The sequence below is a fragment of the Homo sapiens genome, chromosome 18 (assembly GCF_000001405.40).
Source record: "Homo sapiens chromosome 18, GRCh38.p14 Primary Assembly".
Taxonomy (NCBI): domain Eukaryota; kingdom Metazoa; phylum Chordata; class Mammalia; order Primates; family Hominidae; genus Homo; species Homo sapiens.
This window is the reverse complement of record NC_000018.10, coordinates 78,979,809-78,999,864: the sequence shown is the minus strand read 5'-3', so window position 1 is coordinate 78,999,864 and position 20,056 is coordinate 78,979,809. Positions and strand designations below refer to the sequence as shown.

General features: G+C 47.9%; 1 protein-coding gene across 1 annotated transcript, besides 4 other annotated features; it reads right to left on the bottom strand.

The window, feature by feature from the left end:
- On the bottom strand, nt 896-20,047 carry SALL3 (spalt like transcription factor 3). The gene is made up of 3 exons (NM_171999.4): nt 19,509-20,047; nt 4,403-7,791; nt 896-2,974 (listed from the first exon to the last, which is right to left on the bottom strand). The coding sequence occupies exons 1-3, from the start codon at nt 19,588-19,590 to the stop codon at nt 2,543-2,545; spliced, it is 3,903 nt and encodes a 1,300-aa protein (NP_741996.2). The 5' UTR covers nt 19,591-20,047; the 3' UTR covers nt 896-2,542.
- Nucleotides 5,080-6,061: an enhancer, noted in NCBI's record as "H3K27ac-H3K4me1 hESC enhancer chr18:76753804-76754785 (GRCh37/hg19 assembly coordinates)". NCBI's record gives its function as "activates a minimal SCP1, AML or CMV promoter by ChIP-STARR-seq in primed H9 embryonic stem cells {active_cell/tissue: H9 hESC(primed)}" and the evidence as "EXISTENCE:reporter gene assay evidence [ECO:0000049][PMID:30033119]".
- Nucleotides 14,488-15,002: an enhancer, noted in NCBI's record as "NANOG hESC enhancer chr18:76744863-76745377 (GRCh37/hg19 assembly coordinates)". NCBI's record gives its function as "activates a minimal SCP1, AML or CMV promoter by ChIP-STARR-seq in naive and primed H9 embryonic stem cells {active_cell/tissue: H9 hESC(naive and primed)}" and the evidence as "EXISTENCE:reporter gene assay evidence [ECO:0000049][PMID:30033119]".
- Nucleotides 15,697-16,455: an enhancer, noted in NCBI's record as "OCT4-NANOG hESC enhancer chr18:76743410-76744168 (GRCh37/hg19 assembly coordinates)". NCBI's record gives its function as "activates a minimal SCP1, AML or CMV promoter by ChIP-STARR-seq in naive H9 embryonic stem cells {active_cell/tissue: H9 hESC(naive)}" and the evidence as "EXISTENCE:reporter gene assay evidence [ECO:0000049][PMID:30033119]".
- Nucleotides 17,801-18,630: an enhancer, noted in NCBI's record as "OCT4-NANOG-H3K27ac hESC enhancer chr18:76741235-76742064 (GRCh37/hg19 assembly coordinates)". NCBI's record gives its function as "activates a minimal SCP1, AML or CMV promoter by ChIP-STARR-seq in primed H9 embryonic stem cells {active_cell/tissue: H9 hESC(primed)}" and the evidence as "EXISTENCE:reporter gene assay evidence [ECO:0000049][PMID:30033119]".

Below are 20,056 nucleotides of genomic sequence, written 5' to 3'. Positions count from 1 at the left end.
CCTGGTGGAAATACCACGGATACACACCCACCACAAATGACCTCCTCAAATTCCACTTTCTCCATTAGAAAAATCAAGGAATGCAACTCAGAAATAACATTACATCCTGCATTTTATTCAATTCCATATGACAAAAATAGTAACCTAGACTAAGACATCCATTTCAGTCAGCAGATGTGTCAAGCCACAAGATTTAATAATAAAAAATATTGGGTCTAGGTAACAATCCCCAGCTGCTCAGAGAGGTCCCAGCCCCGCATGGCATTACAGTATAAAAATAGTGTCTCTCTTCACCATGCAGAGGGATGGCCTAGCCCTGCACACAGGAGGGTCAGTCTCACTGTACCTTCATGAGCCATCTTATTTACAACACTTTACATTTCTCTTTAGTTATATACACATCCTTTTGGGAGAAGAGAGAACACTATATGGTACCAAATACTAACCAAAAACAAACAAACAAAAAAACCACACACACACACACACCAAAAAGGACACAGATAAATAATGAAAACATTCAACTGCTGAAACACAGTGACCTTAAGCCACCTCAGTTTTCTCTGCCTAATGCTTGAGACACCCCGAGCCCTCATCCCGTGAGAAGAGGTGGCATGGTGGGGCGAAGTTACATCTCATCACCGTGGAAAACAGAGCTGTAGAGTTCAGTGTTGATTTCCAATAGAAATAAACAGCTAATGAGTCTTTGATACTTTTTGTTTAGTGACACGCTGGCACAAACAGCCCATCCTCTTACAATGATTGTTGATGCTGCTGTGGTTGTTAGGAGAAGATTGTTCTATTTTTCTGTCTCGACCGAGAAGACTTCACTGTCTGATTCTTTCTTCAGGGGCATGCAACTCCTTGCAGTTACCCAGCTACCAGAGCATCTCTTGAACAATTTTGTTGTTGGAAGTTCATAGTGTCAGACGCCAGCACACTTGCAACGCACGAAAATGAGGTAGTTCACGACGCCGTGTTTGTGCTGCCTCGGCCGCCCCAGCCTCCGGGGCCCTCCTGGCTGGATGCAGCTCAGCCATCAGCGTCAGGCTGTGTTCTGAAAAATCAGAGGACACTGTGCTTTGCTTTCATCTGAGAAGATAATAAATAAATCAGGAACTCGGAAAATTTCAAAGTCATGACTGATTGTACTGCCTGATACTTGCCATTTCTCTTGGGTTTACTGTACATGTGACCAGTGCCACCAGGCAGCCACAATCTTGTCTGTGGGTGAGAGAGAGAGACAGACCCGCTTACATGAAAATCAGACCTGCAGAAGGTTATCCTAGTTCCTTCCTGGCTTGTACTGACGTCATAGTCCTAGGATGAATTCACCAAGGTTTCGTTAGGGGGCGGTCACAGTTTTAAAGTGGGCTTTGTGGAAAAGTTAAATAAATCATTTTAATTTAAGAAACGGCAGGCCCTACTTTACTGAAAAGCTGACAAGTCTTGGTGGCTTTTCAAGTGGCAGAGATTTCTAATATTGTTTGACCATAAGACAAAACAAGGAACTGTAACAGTTTTCCCATTTTCCTTAAACTGAAGTACTATTTATAAAATACTTTACATTTTTTTAAATTTTCAAATTATAGACAAACCTCCCTAATACAAAATACTAAAAGTGCAATAGTATAAATTAAGAGTTTGCAACCACATTATACAAACATTACCTTTTTATTGTACAGCTTTGATAATGTGAAATATTTTCTCACAACTGTTTATAATGTTGTGAGTCATTTACGGTGATGTTTGTCTGTAACTCGTTCCCCAGTTATTGGGCTACAGACCACACTAGAAAACAACTGTCCACATAGCAGCTACAAACATTTAAATTAAAAAAAAAAAAAAAAAAGGCTTATTACTGACAGGTACTTGCACACGAAAAGCATGCTATCTTTCCCAACAGAACTTCACAATTTTGCCTGCATTGAAATAATCCACTTATTTATAGTAAAACAAATCTTGCTTAAAAAAAAAAATCACACAGCCAGATGTATTCTGCAGTACAAAAGCTTCGTTTAAGGTCGGGGCTATTATATTGTCTGTTACCCGCATTATCTTAACATCATAAATACTACAGACGAAGATAGTGTCATGATACACAGCATTGGGAGTACTAAACCACGTCTTTAACATGAAGAGTTCTAAAAAACACCGTTCAAGTGTCTAACTAATTCAAAAGAAACCATCAAATGAGTTTCACTGGAATACCGCAGAGAACCCCTTTCTCCCTCGGAGAGATTATTAGGTTTCAGGAGAAAGGAAGTGGACATGGTCTGAGCTCTTTCTGTTCCTAAGGCGGTTTTCCAAGCACTTTTTTTTTTGAAGGAAGCTTATTTAAAAGATTGCAGAGTTCTCGAGAACAGTCAGGCTTGCTGTTGAAGGGAGCGCCATGCAGCGCTTACAAGACCACCTCTCGGCAGCCGCACAAAGTGTTTTCTGCTATGGGTGAAAGTGTAATGAGAACCGAGGCAAGAAAGGTCGGAGGCCTGATGCTCCAACTTCAAAACGTGGGCCTGGGCAGGGCAGATGAGCGAGTCACTGGCTAGTTGATACCAATCTCCTTGTTATCCTCGATAAACCGCGTGAATGGGCGGCTGGCTGCTGTTTCTGAGCTCGCTTTGTCCAAGCTGACGATGGGTGGGCTACTGCCAGTGCGTGCTTTGTCCATCCCACTGGCCATGCTGCCCAGAGGGGGGAGGGCGCTGCCCCCAAGACTCACGGGGAGCTGGGGGATGCCGCCGTTCTGGATGACGGAGATCTCGTTGTTCTTCATGGCGAGCCCGTTAGTGATGGCTGCAGCATACTGGTTCCAAAAACTGGGGTCGACGTTCATTGCCCGAGCTGCCAGGTCCTTCTGGAACATTTCAGAGAACTTCAGGGCATCACCCCCTAGGAGAGCCATGGGGTTCTCCACAGACAGGCGGCGGCCGCGTCTCGCGGGGGCGTTATTCCACATGTGTGTCCCCATGTGCACCTGCGCGAGACACGGAGACAGCCCACGAGTAAGTGCCTAGACACGGAGGCAGAGCTGCTCCGCTTCCAGCGCAGCAGACAGAGGTCCACCCCGCTCCCAAGCGCGACTTACGGACAACAAAACACAGGTGGACTTTTCTGGGCACTTTATATTTCTACATGCAAACATCTTGTTTTATTGAATACAATAAGCAAAACCAACAAATATAAATTAATGAGTGCGGTCTTTCAGTTGACAAACTTTCGAGTAATTTTCTCCTAAGGTGTAAAACCCACATGGCCACGCAGAGAATGTTCTGGAGCTCGAAGGGTCCGGGTCTTGCTCCTTCACTTGCCCAAGCCCTGGCTCCCTTCTGACCTCTACTGTCCCCCACTTTGCATCTTCTGCTGCTGGGACTCTCTGACTGTGCCCCTCTCCTCTTGCTTTCTCTCAAACAAAGAAACATTAATTCTAGAACATCCCAGGGCCACCTGCCAGCAGGCCCTGCGGGCAGTTCTTATCCAGCCCACGCACGCCAGGTAGAAACCACAGGCATCGATCTTTGGGCTGTCTGAAGAGGCTGCCGGAACCCAGACAGGCTGGCTTTGCAAACGTGCACTTCACAGACGACAGAAAGCAGCCATCAGTCAACACAGCACAAGGCACAGGCCTGAGCCACCCAGTACTCGTCACACACCCGCTCTACCGCTGCTGCTGCGATCTCATACAGGAACACTGCACAGCGCTGGCTCCTCTGCCCCACGCCAGGAGCTTCTCACCCAGCGCCCCTCCCATGGGCCCTTTTGGCAGCCACACGGACAGAACGACAGGGCCTGCTGAGTGGCCTCGCCTTGGTACTGCTTGTATTACATGTGAGTTTTAAAACCAAGTTTATTTTCTATCAGATTCAAGAGGGCTTCAGGCCCTGGACCTGCCTACCAAGTTGCAAAGTGAGCATTCTCACCCCTAAGGAATGCCTAACCTGGCTGAAGGCATCAGAGGCCCAGCTGCACGTGTTCCCCGGGAGAGGCCCAGGCTCCTGTTCCCCCCACAGCGGATTAACAGGATGTAGTCTCAGTGTGTGTGCACAGGGACACACAGGCATGCCAGACACCACACACGACATGCACATTTGCACACGCACGTTATAAATATATGGATACATTACATACACCCACACATAGGGCACCTACACATGCACACACACACGACCCATACACACCTGCACACACATAGGTACACGCTACTCACCCACACGCACACCCGACACACACATATCACACCCTATAACACGCACACATCACGCACACACACCCACAGGCGTGGCATCTCACCCCCCTGGCCAGGATAGGAGCAGGACCTCGGCCGCTGTGTCTGCGGCAGGTGATGGAGAAAGCCACCGTGGCTCGGCCGCACCGCAGCCGGGGCTGGAGCCTGCCATGCTCTTACCTTGAGGTTGCCCTTAGTGGTGAAGGCCCGGCCGCAGATGGTGCAGCCGAACGGCTTCTCGCCGGTGTGCGTGCGCTCATGGATCTGCAGGGCGCTGGCCGAGGAGAAGGTCTTCCCGCACGACTGGCAGTTGTGCTGCTTGGGCGTCCGGCGCGGTGGGGGGGCCAGCATGGGCGCCAGGCCCGGGCCCATCACTGTCTGAGGCCCGGCGGGGACCTGGACGCCCGCGGGCAGCGGGGGACCCTCGCCCAGCGCCATGGCCTTGCCGTGACCGTTCACTTCCATTTTGATCATGGTGGGTGCGGCGCTGGAGATCAGGCTAGGAGTGCTTTGGCTGGGACCTAGAGCAAAGTTGGGGTCAAATAACTGAGAAGGCAGCTCTTTCAATCTGTGTGTCAGTAAGTGCTGTTTTAAATTACCCATAGTGGAGCACCCTCGCCTGCAGAGCGCGCAGACGAATGGCCGCTCCTTAGTATGGCTGCGGTAGTGGATTTCCAACGCGCTCTTGCAAGCAAAAGGCTTGCCACAGACACCACACACAGTGCTGGGACACTTACCCCGCTCCCTGCTCAGGAACAGCAGGCTGAAGGGCGCCTCCTCCTTGATGCCCGCGCGGCCAGGGGCGCCTCCGCTGCCCGGGGCGGCGGCTGGGCTGTCCGGCCTCTCGGTCTTGAGCGGGATTTCCTGGGGCTCCTCCGGGGCGCCCAGGCCCGGGGACTTGGAGCGGAAGCTCTCACCATTGCTGGGGGCCGGCGACAGGGCCTGCGAGGACGAGGACTCGGACAGGGCGGGGCTGCCCGCGCTGCGGCTCTCCAGGTCGCCCACGGCCGACGAGGAGTCGTTGCTCAGGCGGTCACTCTCCCCGGACCCGTTCTCCACGGACTTGAGGCCGGTCAGCTGCTGGCAGCTCATGACCGAGTCGATCATCTTCATCTGGTTCTCCAGGGCGGCAATGCTGGAGATGACCGAGGGCGGGGAGGGCGGGCAGGACCCCGCGTAGGACAGGAGTGGCTTGGCCGGGTCGGTGGCCGCGTCCTTCAGCTCAGCGTCGTCCTCCATGGAGTTCTCGTCCATGTCGTCATCGTAGCTGCTCAGGGTCTCCGCGTTCTTGTCGTCGTAGGCCAGCTCGGAGTCCATGGCATCCTGGAAGCCCTCCGGCAGCGGCGTGTTGGGGATCTGGCCGCCCATGTGCATGCGGATGTGCTGCTGCAGGACCACGGCGTTGGTGAACTTCTTCTGGCAGATGGGGCAGGAGTGCTGCACGCGCAGGGGCGGCTTTGCACGGTGCACGCCGAAGTGCGTCTTGAGGTTGCCCTTGGTGGTGAAGGCGCGGCCGCAGATCTTGCACTTGAACGGCCGCTCCCCCGTGTGCGTCCGGTAGTGCATCTTCAGCGCGCTCTGGCAGCTCAGCACCCGGTGGCAGATGACGCACTGGTTCGGGTCCGTCATCTTCTTGTCGATGTTCTCCACCAGCTGCTGCAGCTTCGAGGTTTCCGACGTTTGCATCGAGTCTAGCAGCCCCCCGAACGGAAACTGGGCCTTGAACTGCTCGGAGACGGCGGGCAGCCCGGGGCTGCCGAGGCTCGTGGGTGCGCCGTCCACCGATGTGGGTGCAGCGCTAGCCTGCGCGCCCACGGGAGCGTCCCCGGCCCTGGCGTTGGTGCAGGGCAGGCTGACGGGCTCGGCTTTAGTGAGGGGCGGCCCGCCGAGGAGCGACTGTGGGGACTCGGCGGTGGCCGACACGCCGGACTCCACGTGGTTGAGGCCTGGGGACAAGGAGGCGCACTCGCTGGAGGCGGGCGAGGGCCTCTGCGGGGAGCGGCTGGCTGGGGTGGCGCTGGGAGAGTCGGCGTAGCCGTGCGCGCCAGGGACAGTGGGCGGCAGTTGCAGCCCCACGGACGTGGGCACGGTGGGCAGCACGGGCTTGCTGTCCAGCCAGGTGGTCACGGGCTTCTCGGGGGGCAGCGACATGCCGTAGGGGATGCCCGAGCAGGTGGGCACGTTGTCCAGGTACTCGGGGACCGGGTAAGGGTTCATCTGGATGTGGGGGTACTTCTCCTTGTGCCTCTGGAAGTGCACCTTCAGGTTGCCTTTGGTGGAGAAGCGGTTCCCGCAGATGTTGCACTTGAAGGGCCGCTCGCCTGTGTGCGAGCGCAGGTGGATCTGGAGCGCGCTGTCGCTGCCGAAGACCTTGGCGCAGAAGCGGCATTTGTGCTTGAAGAACGGGTCCTCGGCGCTGGCTTTGGGCTCGAACACCGACACATTGGGCGGCTTGCCCTTGCGGTGCTTCATGAGCGCGGACAGCGGGTCCAGAGCGTTGGCCGTGGCCGCGATGCTGACCAGCGGGTTGGGGAAGATGACGCCGCTGGCGGAAGTCTGAGGTAGAAGCGGACTTGGCAGGCCGGGCGCCGCACCCAGCAGGGACCCCGGGGCCAGGGCAGGCGGCGTGGATGCGCTCTGCGGCTGCGACGAGGCTGCGCTCTGCGGCGCTGGCGCCGGGGCGGGGGCAGCGGGGGCAGGGGCGGCGCTGGGGGCGGCGGGCGCGCTGGGCTCCGCAGGGCCGCCGGGGGTGCTGGCGCCAGACTCGGGCCGGGACAGCGGCTGCGCGCCCTCGAAGGCGGCCGGGGCGGCGGGGCCCGAGCCCGCGATGGCGGCGGCAGGGGCCCCGGCCGACAGCGGGAGCGCGGCCAGCCCGGGCAGCTGGCTGGGGGCCGGGCCCGGTGCGCTCGGGGCGGCCGCGGGGCTGAGTGAGGGCCGCGGCGGCGGGCGCTGCATGAGGGCCACCTGGCTGCGGATCTGCTCGATGAGCTGCAGCTGGTGGATCTGCTGCTGCTGCAGGGCCATGAGCTGTTCCAGGATCAGGGGCACGGCTGCAGCTGCCACGCCTCCACCTGCTCCCGAGCCGCCTGCCGCGCGCGCGCCCTGCGAGAACTGCGCCACCGCCACCTTGGTGCTCAGCAGCGCCTCCAGGGTCACGTTGGTGCTGGGCGCGCCGTAGGCGGGCGTTGGGGGTGCAGGGGCCGCAGGCGGGGGCCGGGGCGCGCGCGTGTCCCCCGCGGGTTCCGCGTCCATGGGCTCGGCCTCCTTCTCCACCGGCCTGGCCTCGCCCTCCGCGCCCTCCGCACCCGCCTCCTCGGCCGCCTCGCTTTCGGCGCGCTCGCTGGGGGAGCTGGCGGGCGAAGGCTCGGGGAAGTCCTCGGGGGGCGGCGCGGGCGCGTCCTCGTGCACGATCAGCACGGGCGGGAGCTTGGTGCAGCTCCGCTGGTGCTCCAGGAAGTCCGCCCACTTGAAGAACTCGGCGCAGCATTTCTCGCACACGCTGGTCTCCTCGCCCCCGCTGCGGCTCTCGGGCCCGCTGTCTGCGTCCTCCGCACCTTCCCCCGGGGCGGCTGCAAGACCAAGAGAGTGAGTCAGCCGGGGCTCGGCGCCCGCCCTCCGTCTCAAAATTTTGCACGAGTAAAATCAATATTTTTTATTTTGTACAAATTACCCCACTTCGACATTTCTGACGTCCCAGCGTGCGTATTCTATGACTCTTTCTAGCTAGCTAATCATTTTCTTAGCCCAATCCATCAAATTATGAGGCCCTATCAATTGTGGATCCTGCTTCTTAATGAAATTCCATAGAAGCCATTGATTTCCAATATTTTCATACAATCTGCGGCTACCCTGTCTGTTGAGTACAAAGCCGGCTTTCGATGGGCTCATTAGGATTCCCCTTTACCATCCGGCTTCCTCATTTCCAGCAAAATTAGAGATGCCTTTGCCAGTTCACTTAACATTGCTAAACTAATCTGTAACCTTTCAAACTCACATCAACACCTGACAGGGGGCCGCGCTGTGGCCGGTGTGGTCCCCACCACGCGGATTTCTCATCTTTACGCAGCGCGGAGACATTCCAGATTTAAGGTAAGGTTACTTACAGAACCTCTGAGCCAATGGGCATTTACTTTATGTAGGCAATTTTGGCTAAATGCTCTCATTTGTGAATGTAACAAAGGAAACATAAGCGTTTCTTACATCAGCTCAGAAAAACAATCTCCGCCAACTCAGAGCGACAGAGCAGTTCCCCCCCCCCCACCCTTGTACTTTCTTCCAGATAGGGTACACTTCTACATTTTAGACTTTGCCAAATCAATACAGTCTAGGCCTAAAATGCATCATGTGTAATACAATTAATTGGCTCTGTCAGATGCAATATTTCTTGGCAAAATGAACTAAAATTACATGTTACTGTTATTAGCCAATAGAATTCAGTGGTTTGTTAACAAACTAGAAATTATATATTTAAAGTTCATTTATGTTGACATGTTTAACATGAGAATGTTGTAGTCAGACACACTTTTTGTACCTATTTTCATCTATTCTCATAGAAGACTTAGCAAATTATATGCTTGTGCCATAGTGGAAAACCCTCTAATTGGTTACACATGTTTAATTACTGTTGTAGGCAGCCACTTCCTCCGTCTCCCCTTACCCTCTTGTGCCGAGTAACAACTATGTTTAATGAAGAACTCTAATTCACACCTGATCAAATAAATAGCTATACAGGAATGAGAAACCAACATACAGCAACGTTGCTACCTTCCATTTTTTGGGTGGTTGGGGTGAAAAGTAATTCCCAATAATTACTCAGGTTCTCTGTGCTCGCCTGGATATTACTGACTCGTAACTGCTTTTTGTCAACTTACAGATGGAGTGATGGCAACAAATCAGTTCCAACAGACACAATGACAGCTGCACATCAGCTCTTTGTTAAACGCGCACAGTTGAGTGTGAGAACAAAACATCTTCAAGTCTGTGTCCCCGGAAATAATTTACTGTTAGAACATCAACAAATGCAGCATTTGCTAAAAAGCTCCACATTTGTTGTTGATGTTTAGGGTTCTGGAAAAAGAATAATTTAGCACTGAGTTCAATAGAGAATTCTGATTTTTAAAAAAATGTCCTGTAAAAACATACTTTTCCTCTACTTGAAAAGAAAAATATTTTTTGAGGCTAGTTTGTGACTCACCATGAGGCCATTATTCTCAGGTAATTTATACATGCCTTTAAAAAATTATTAGCAGTGTTCAATTAGCATTTTCTTAACTGGCTAAACCATCTGAAGGGGAAAGAAGTTAGAGCTTGCAGCCCATAAAGCCTGCTAGACTTTTAAACTAAATTCAGCGCCGAAGACCAGACTGCAGCAAGAGGTCTCATTACTGTATGGAGGAAGGAATGTAATAGGTATCTGTAATGAGGTTGACTATAGCTGGAAGCAAAGACACAGCTGATTTATACTGCAGATAGGCACATTAGCAAAATAAATACTCCAAGTACTCAACTTTGCTCAATGTATGCAAAATCTAATTTTAAACCCGCAAAGGTTATGGAATAGGGCAAAGAACAAAAAGAGCCTCAAATCTTCAGGTAATTTCTTAATGACTGATAAAAAGGCCTATCTCAAAATCTAGTCATGTATCTTAAAAATAATCACAAAATGCAAAGAATTTCTACTTTTAAATTTCTTTTTAAGAGTGGAATGTTCTTCAGCAGCCCTGAATGTTTAAAAACAAAAATCTAAGTAGCCACTTAAAAAGTTCATCTGCATTAAACCATCCATACACATCTATATGGCACAGAAATAACTACTGTAACTAAACAAGGAACAGAGTGTTTTAAGGGGTTTTCCAATATTTTGAAACAATGATACAAAATATTTTAAAAAGGAACATCCCAAGAAATTAAATGCTTGTTAATTCCTTGAAACATTTTTTACACTTAACTCCTTACAGGAGATAAAATGTATAACTTATATGCTACACAAAAACATTCAGGTAGTATATATAGTTACAGTTTTACAAAGTGTGTATCTTATTAAAAGAATACTTTTTCTTTATAGGGAATGTGTATTAGGGACAGTTCATTGAGAAAAATGCTTTAAAATTAGGTTGATCCTTGGATCATTTCAAGTGAGTTTAGTGTTGAAAGAATTAACTTACATAACCACAGATACATTTTATCTTTAAAAATGAACATTTCCCAGATTTTGTCACAAACCATAGTGTGTGATAAATATCACTTTTGTTTTTCACAAAGATCTTGTGCTTTTTGCAAAGGTCCTGACCCAAACAAATCTCTATTTACCTTAACAATTTGCATTTTTACATTCCCATTAGTTTTTTTTAAATATGTTAAATATTTTTAGGGTTCACTTCCTAATTCATGGATGTTGGGAAGTGTTTCCACATGTGATTTCACTTTTCCCATTGGTAAGTTTGCTAAATTGCAACTGTTTCTCGATTGTGGAAACCGTGCGTAGAATGTTTAAGCACTTTCTGCCACATAGTAAGTCATTTTGTTTAAAGCAATTATAAGTGATAATTACCAATACAATGAAGATATTCTTTTCAAAGTAAAATAAGCTTCCATTTATTCCTTCAAAATTGAAAAAGGAAATTGTGTTAAAAAATGTCATTGTGACCATTTGGACCTGTTAACAGTTCATTTTGTTAATGAGCCCAAGGAAACAGACTATGCTGGATTTTATAAGCAAAGCTCCGTAATAAATTTGGCTTTTGACTAAAACAGACCTTAAAGGTTATTATTAATGAAGGAAAAAAATTTCAATACAACTCAGATTATTTCAGGCAAATCAGGATCATCATCTATATTTTCTATTGAGGTGTGTATAAAATATCAATGTGATCACCTCAATTGTTCTCGCGTGCCCCAGCTGTGACTGTGTCTCACTATCAACATTTGAATGTGATTAGCATTCCATAAAAGTTGTAGATAAGAACGAATTTCACAACATAGCCCCGAATAAAAGAAATACAGGTAAAAACACTCACGTGTGGAATTGAAACAATCACATATGGAATTGAAATTCTGTCTGCATACTTCAAGAATGTTATTAAACAATAGTAAGCACTTGACTGAACTGGTTGTAGGAAATAACCAAAGTGAACATATTTTACTAAGGACAGAGTTTCCTGAGAACTAGAAAGACATTTTGCTGGCTTGCAGACTGAGGAGTGCTGGCTTCTGATGCATTCTGAAGAATAAGTTCTTATAAACTGCTTCCATGGCCCTTCTCATGATGATGATTAAATGCATATATTACAGTGTTTATGTGCCAATCTGACATTATTTACTTACGTTTAAGTGCTGTCTATAACAAGCAAACCCATATGGGAAAAATCTGCATTTAGTCCACAATTTTATCATATAAACTTCTAAAGCCCTTTAATCCTGCCATCATTTAAAGCCAGTATTATGTCAGATTCAAATGTATTTAACCACCTTTTTAAATTAAACTTGTATTTTGAACTGGCCTGTATGCATGTTCCAAAAATAGAAGTTATTACATTAATTAATATGGCCTAAACTTTTTATGTCAAGGCAAAACCATGTCAGCGAGGCACTGTAACAACAGTACAACAGTGACAAGTTTGAGAAATTTATTTCCAATGCAATTTTCATTTTCTTCCTCTCTTTGTTTAAGGGGCGAATTAAAAAGCAAGCATTGCAAACATTATCATTAATGTCAAAGGAACTTATTTTTTGCACACTATTCAACAGCTAAGAGACGTGAAACTGTAAACAGGCAGGGGATGGGCAGGAATGGGATTTTATTAGAACAAGTTAAGAAAAATGCCAACCAGTTCACCAACTAACAGAACTTAGCGAACACTCTTCCCTTCTTGGTGAATGAGAGTATCTGGCCAGGGCTACTTTTAGGAAGTACCAACCCATTTGCTTCTATGTGAACGTGAAGGTGGCCTCAGGACCTGCTCTGCCACAACCCGCCTTAGCTGATCTCAAATTAAGTATCACACCCATGGTGCCATGTTGGCCATCTGCACTACACAGGATAAAAATATAGTTTTTTTTTCCATTTAATTTACAGTGATCCCAATATCTGCTGTTTACACCTAGATTTTCAGGGCCTCTATTACCATGTGCACATTCCTTCCTGTCTGTGTTTCTCAGTTGTACAGAAGAGGGGAGGAAGGTCCCACAGGCCTTTCAGAGAAAACCTCTAACAAAAGCATAGCTTCAAAGACGATAGTTAAAAAAAATATGTATTTTCCCCTTCTAACTAATAAAATATACACAGAATGTTTAACAAAAATGTTCCTATTCTTAGGAGTGACTCTTGGTGTGAAAGGAACCCCTCAGACTGTCTGTTTTTGGTCTTCGCTCAGCTTTAATCCCTGGTCTGTTATAGAATCTATCTATCTTCTATCAGAATGACAGGCAGAATTTTTAGCCTGGATGATCTTTTTAAAGCCACAAGTGAAAAACATCATTGTAATATGTGTGTGTAAAATACAGCTATGTGATTTCCAAGCAAACTAATCCTCTGATTTGGTTTTACATGAGAAATTACATGAGAAAAAACCTAAAACAGGTTTTTTTTTTAAAAATAAGTTTACTTAGAATAATATTAAAATGCTCAATTTTTACATAAATTTTGTGTATGAAATATATAACTTAAGATATGCTGTGTATACCTATATAATATTTAAGACGATGCTTTCTTCAAAAATTTCAAGCTACAGTTCTTGGCATTTCAAGTACAGTGGTTTTTAAGTAAGCTAACCAATTACAAAGTAGTATTAATATAGGTGTTCTGTAATTTCCTTTATCAATCTCAAAAGCTCACCTTCAATACACTTTTGCTGCATGTTTTTTACTCATTACAATGAACAAGAGAAGCAGAATTTGTTTAGTGCAGGGAAAGGGTTGTTAACTTATCCACTTCAATGAGTAACTTTAAAATGCCACGTGGATCTTCAGGAAAGGAAGACGGACTTTTTCCTTTGCCTTTCCATCTCTTAAAAATCCAGAAAGCATTTTTTTCCAGTTTTCCTAAATTGTTAGGAGACACTTATTTTCTTGCAAATTAATTCTTTTTAACTCCTTATGATAGCTTTGAATCCCATAAAGAAAGATGAATTATCACATACTGAGCCCAAGCTGTGAAACAGGAGGAGACAAATAGAGACCCCTACTGTGTTTAACAATGTAGAAGAAATTCCAGACGCAATAGAAAAATTTTCTGTCCTTTTCCCGAGACCTCAGAGTGTGTACGCACAGCGCTGAACAGTGGAGGGCACTCTTGCCATGCTCAACGCGGCTCTGACCACACACTCCCGCGCGTCGACGCCATGGCCCACACCTCAAATTTGTTAAGTCACGACCACCTGTGGCACAGTCACCAACTGTCTTCTGCTTAAAACATTTGCAGTTTTTAACCTGTGCAGTGAAGCACCCGGGAGGAGACACGGTTGCCTTTATGGGTACATGCAGATGGGAGCTGGACAGCACTCGCATTTGCTTTAACTATCTGCCCTCGACGCTGCTTCAAATAATAAGACGTTTGTTACACTTCAAGGTTGCACAATAGTTCTTTCATTTAGATGTTATGCTGTCATCACACTTATAAGGAACGCGTGTGTATCACTATCTATGCCTAATGAAAAATACGCAGACCTGAAATATGTCAGCTGATGCAAACAATTTCAATCGAAATTTGATGAGGGGGTGAAAACAAGGTTTTGCTAAATCACTTTTGGTGAAGATGCAGATGGTTTACATTCAAAGGCTGTGGTCTCACTGATCCGACACATGAAATTAAACGTGCTATTTCATGACATGCCTACTTGAAAGCACCCAAACACTGTCCATTTTTCAAATCCACTATGCATAGAAATAAATACGCAAAACCACTTAGACATATAAATGCCTACATGTAAATAGCTCTAGAGGGGCACATGAGCCACGCTGCGTCCAGAAGCAAGGCTACCATCAGCTGTGACCATCAGCCCGCTCACACTCGGGATCAGGCGATGGAATCATTTCCATCATTTGTCAGCACTTCATGGCACTTTCATTTCTACAGGCAAAGTTTGCACATATGCAAAAAATCATCCTGGAAAAGCCACTGCCCTGGGTCGTTGAAGCCAGTGACTCTGCACGTATACAGATCCTACAACAGAATTACCAAACAGTGCGGTGAAGGTCACTCTCGAAAAGACCAGTAACGCCGACGAATCACGACAAAGTGCCGCGGCACCTGCAGGGTTAATTAAACAGTTCAAGATGCAATAACGACACAAAAGAAAGCCGTTTTCTCTTCTTCTTTAAGAACTATAAACACTTGTGCTGAACTAGATGGCGTCTGAGAAGCCGTGCAGCACGGCGCAAGCTCGCGGGATCTCTAGTTAACACTCAGATTCAGTGTTAACACTTAACAGAACAGTGGTGAGCCCTGTTGCCAAGGTCAACAGCACAGATGCACTAATTGTATTATGAGCTTGACATCTAGTGGCCACCCCTGGCAGGGCAAAGCAGGCAAAGGTTAAATCAGCAAGGCTTGTCAAAGCACTTCTAACTACCCACCTTCAGGGAGAGACGGTCGGAAGCTGGCCAGCACTCTGCAACCCCACCTTTTCAGACATCAGACAAAAAGGCTTTCTGCGCCGAGCTGGCTGCTAATGCTCGCAGAGAATGCGAAGGGGGTAGGGATTTTAGATAGTAAGCAGAACTAATCTGAAGGTGATTGAAAAAGACAGGCCCACAGAGGAAAATATTTAGACACCACACTGGCATTATCGGATCCCCTTGGTGGACACCGTCTCAGTCTGGAGAACGCCTCCCTTTAATTAAGAAACAAATCAATCTTCATCTCTAACATAGAAACCATTCCATTATTTTATTACAATTAATATTTTATACTTTCTGGCATGTGACTGGCCTGGTTTGCTTAGAAATCAGTTAGCTGCATTTTAAATCATAAATGTGTCGAAATTACATGAGAAATAACCCTAGACAGGTTTTTTTTTTTAAATAAAAGTTTACTTGGAACATTAAATTGCTCAATTTTTACATACAGTTTGTTTCATTGTGTATGAAATGTGTAATAATTAAGGTATGCTGTAATTACAAACCTGTCCTTCCAAGACTAAAACATGTTGGTCTTATTCTGGCAACTACTGAACAAATCATGTAGGAAAATAAAACTAATAAAAACAAAAAATCCTTCCTGTTATATTTAAAAGTTATGCTTCTTGAAACTATCTTGCAGCACTGAAAGATGGTGCATATCCTCATTAGAAGTGAAAAAGATTTTTATTGTACTTAAATAAAAGCTGGTGCCAATACTTTTAAGAATGCTAAATTCCAACTAATGGTCAGCACACAGAATAGAAACCCTGGTTGTGCTTTTGCTGAATTCCCCCCAAAAGAAAATATTCTTAGGGCTACCTGGAAATGAATGGTACAGCTTCTTAGAGATTGCAGTTGGAAATGAAATTTGACCCACTTTTACCATCATCTTGTATACAAAAAAGAATCAGCTTGCTAAGTAATTCCTGCTGTTACTCCATACCTTTTTCTGGCTTTGAACAACAGATCTAAAAATATTGGATAATGCATATGCCATGGAAGTTGAAAACGTACTGCACATAAAATTCGAGAACTGTTACATAATCAGCTCTCTCTCTCTGCAAGCTGGGAATTAATTGGTATGCTTTTTTGTTGATCACAGAAACGTGCACTTTTAAATAGGTTAAGTTTTTTAATGTTGTTTTTAAAAGAAATGTTGGCAAAGTCTTCTTTTCCTCTCCCCTCACCCAACCCGGTTACTTACTTTTTACCTTTCATGTTTCAGAGAAAGCAATCTGCCTGTGAATGTTAGAAAGTAGCTCCTGCATTGTTCCTTTTGGTATGCTGAATTGTAAATGTGTGTAGTGTGCTGGGGGAGCACTGAGGGCAAACCATGCATATACAGATAAAAGAAAAAGATCCTGCGCCAAGCACTGGTGGCCGAGCTTCTTTCCCTTAATTCAAACACAGTCTGTGAAAACCACTGGTAAATTCTTAAATCACATGCTCAACACATTTAAAAGGATTTTTAAGACAGCCATATACTTCTAAGTTGGCAGAAAAAAAAACACACTTTGAAGCAATTAGTGCTAACAAACAAAATACAGGATGGTAAATGGTTTTAAATTATAATACCCTTTTGTTCCTTCTTAAATACATATTTTCTAACAACAACAAAATACATCTTTCTTAAATTATATTTTATACAATAAAGAATAGCAGTATTGTATCTTTTAAAGTTCTTAGTGGGCATATAACTGTCATTGGAAGTTTTAATTAATTTTTCTTAGAACAAAAATATTCAGCTGGCTCACAGGATTACTAGTGGCGCAAAGTTCACTGGATCCTAAAGCTGCAGCGCCTTTCTTCTAAAATAGGAATGAGATCATTTGCAAGTAAGTAATTTTAAAAAGCAATTTCTGTTAGGAATGTCTCAATGACTTAATTTTTTTTTTTAACAAAAGCATGACTTTAGAACTTTACATAAATTATCCTTACTTTTTCTCATTCTAGACACGTCATGTTTCATTCCTGTAGTGGTAAGGTTTGGGTAGCACCAGTTATTTTTGTATAGAATCTTTTCATTGCTTCAAAAATAAATCATAATTCTTTTTTAAGAGATACAGGCTTTGTGCTGTAAATTAATGTGAGTGCATCTCTGTCCCCCATTATACTAAACATTTTTGCATAGAATATTTGTTCTGCAGGACATTATCAGTAGCTTTCCATTTTACTGCATGTAGATGGACCTGCTGCTTTAATTAATATGTCACTCCCCGAGTGATACAAAGGAATTATTTACCTCGTTTCTAAAACACTAAACTAACTGAGCTCACTTGCAACTTCCGGCACGGTCTGTTTATTTCCATTGCATTTAACAAAATTAAAATTTTGAGGAGATCTGACTCAGGTTGGAGTAATTTGGTTTCCACACCCATTTACCTTTTTATAATTTTTACTTAGTTATCTTAGGAACGATGCTGAGTGCGACCGAGTAATACACAAATGGGGCATTCCTTGACTTAACACGGAACAGAGTGTCTGTTATGCTCCTTGAACAAGCTGCTTCGAATATAATTAAATGAGAAAGAACTTAAAAAAAATAGTTTGCCTAAACTCTCTCAAACAAGCATGTGAGCTGCTCGACCAAGACTCGGCCCCACACAGGGTATTTTGGGCCTCTTGCAAAACATGACCAGGAACTGTGGCAACGTCTGGATTACAATTCTGGATGCTGTGAAAAACACAGGCTTGACAAGAACTTCAATTCTACCACGGGTAAAAAACCTGAATATTTTGCATCTCTAAATAAATTCGAGCAGCAACAAGAGGGATTCAAAGTAGAACTTGTGAATAATTTATCCCATCTTAGGCTTTCAAATATAGGCGATATAGCCCTCCACACGTTTACACTATTAAGTTCAGCATGCTCACATTTCTGAAGTGAAATTAAAAATGAATAGCAGTGCCTCAGCTTGTTAATTGTTAAATACCAGGGGGTTTACTCTATTAATTAAAATATGCTTTAATAAAAGGAGACATCGCACATTTTGATACCGACCCTACAAAGCTGAGAAGTATTTACATTGTTGCATTTTGGGGCGGCTGTGAAAGCCGATTTTAAGCCATTCAGGAGCCACAATAATAAAGCTTTAAAATTCCTCACTGGGACGCAATGTAGTTCTTTTGAAGGAAAGACTGTCTTTCTCATTCGGCAGAAATAAATCCATTCATTTGATCATGTAGTCATTGAGGGCGATACAAAACAAACCAAGTGTGAGAAATTCTATGTGATGAAGTAAACAAAACAAAAAAAAATCCATTTCCATGACAAAAAGATTCTTTGTCCTTAATCTACCCACCATATGCAAGCGTTTCTTTTTAGCATATCGCCTGTTCTCATCTTGGCTGACTTGGCTACACAGATAAGACTCCCTTACCTCCACCGCAACAAAAAGACCCCAGCGAGCTCACTAATTTTATTTAATTCATTAATTCTCCAGCCGCGTCATAAGCATGCTCTCTCGTTCTCATCCGACATGGGTGTCTACCCGCTTTGTCAAACTTTACTCCACTGTGTGGGAAACTCTTCCGCCCCGTTTCCTTTTCGCAGACAGTCTCATTCTCAGAGTAAAAAGATCACCATCTGCCTCCAACAACTTATAACAGGTCAATCATAAAAGTTGGCCTGCCTGTTTTTTTAAGGAGCAAATTATTTTACTGCGAGCTGTGCTGCGGGCTCGGGGTCGTGGGGTCGCCCCTCCTCGGCCCTCTTTCCTGGCGCCCTGGGGGCCCCGCGGGGCGCGCCGAAGCCCGGGCGCCGCCGGCCGAGGTTTTGACTCGACGAAGGGGGTGGGGGCGCCCCAAACTTTGCGGGGCTAAGGCGCCACTCTGGGAAGTCCAGCCCTTTGCCAGTCTCTTAACTTTCGCGGCGCCTGCCCTTTGCTCTTGGATGTTTCGAAGAGGACGCTCCTACCAGCGAAATGACTGCAAAGCCGAGGTCTCCAGCGCCCGGCCTCGGCGGATCCAAAAAGACGGGAGAGAAAAGGCCCGCGCAGACGCTGCAACGAACGCCCCGGAAACACGCCGCGAGCAGGGGCCAGGCCCAGGCCGCCGCCGCTGCGCTCACCCCCAGCTTAATTCCCCGGGCGGCCATTAGGCAGAGCCAAGCCCCCGACCTTCTCCTCGCCTCGCGAGGGATCACAGGCTGCGTCAACGCGCTGGGACACCGCGGGTCACCCGAGGCGGTGCGGGGGCCCGGGAGGGGCCGCGGGCCCCCGAACAAAGCTGGCCGGGCGGCGGGGTCCCCAACCCGCGTCCAGCGGTAGGTGGGCTGCGGTCGCCTTCCCCGCCGCCGCCGGCCTCAGCGTCCTGGCGCAGAGACCCTGGGGGGCGGCGCGGCGGCGGAGGCACCGTGGACTCCCTCCCGCCCCGGCCTCCGAGCCGTCCTCGAGCCGGCCGCGGCCTCGGCGCCCTTCGCGGGCAGCTCCCCGACTCCGAGGAGAGGAGCCAAGTTTACTTCGCCCACAACTCTCTCGGCGGCCGCGCGCGCTCCGGCGAAGTACCCGGGGCCCCGCGGCCGGCCTGGCGCGGGGCGGACGCTTGCCCGCAGGAAGCAGGGAACTTTCTCCCGCTCCCGGACGCGCGCATCCGCTCCCGCCGCACGCGCTTCCCCAGCCCGGACGGGCAGCCCCAGACCCCCCGGCCACCCCGCAGCCCCGGCCCTCACCGTGCTCGGGAGCCCCGTCAGGCGGCAGCAGCTCCTCGTCCGACTTGAGGTGCTGGGGCTTGGCCTGCTTGCGCCGAGACATGCTGCTAGCGGCGCTCGGGCCCCGCGCGGGGCAGCGGCATCAGCGGGGCGGCCGGCGGGGACGGCGCGGGGCGGCCTGGCGGGCGCGCGGCGCGGGGCGCGGGGCGGCGGCGGCTGCGCGGGCCGCGCATGGGGCTGAGCAATTAGGCTGGTGAATAATGCATGGCCATTAGCGGAGGGCCGCGCCGATTGGCCGGGCTCCAGCGGACTCCGGCGGCCTATGCAAATGAGGCCGCGCTCGCAATTAGCGGCCGCGCCGACGAGGAGGGGGCCGCGGCGCCTCGGGACCGGGGCGCGCGCTGCCCGGCGCCGCCTCACATCGCGGGCTCCGGCGCCGCGCTCCTCGGCCGCCCCGGGTGCGGCTGTGGCGGGGCCCGGGTGCGGCGCGGGCCGCGGTGGCCGTCCCTCCGCAGGGCGCAGGCAGCAAACTTTGGCGGCGTCCGCGCGGCGCCGTCTCCGCCGGCGCG

What these genes read in the sequence shown, in the direction of transcription:
- SALL3 (NM_171999.4), bottom strand. Translation starts at nt 19,590, where the DNA reads ATGTCTCGGCGCAAGCAGGCCAAGCCCCAGCACCTCAAGTCGGACGAG. An exon ending in TGACGGGGCTCCCGAGCACG is followed by an intron (nt 7,792 to 19,508) that starts GTGAGGGCCGGG and finishes TTGGTCTTGCAG; the next exon opens with CCGCCCCGGGGGAAGGTGCG. An exon ending in CCACTAAGGGCAACCTCAAG is followed by an intron (nt 2,975 to 4,402) that starts GTAAGAGCATGG and finishes TGTCTCGCGCAG; the next exon opens with GTGCACATGGGGACACACAT.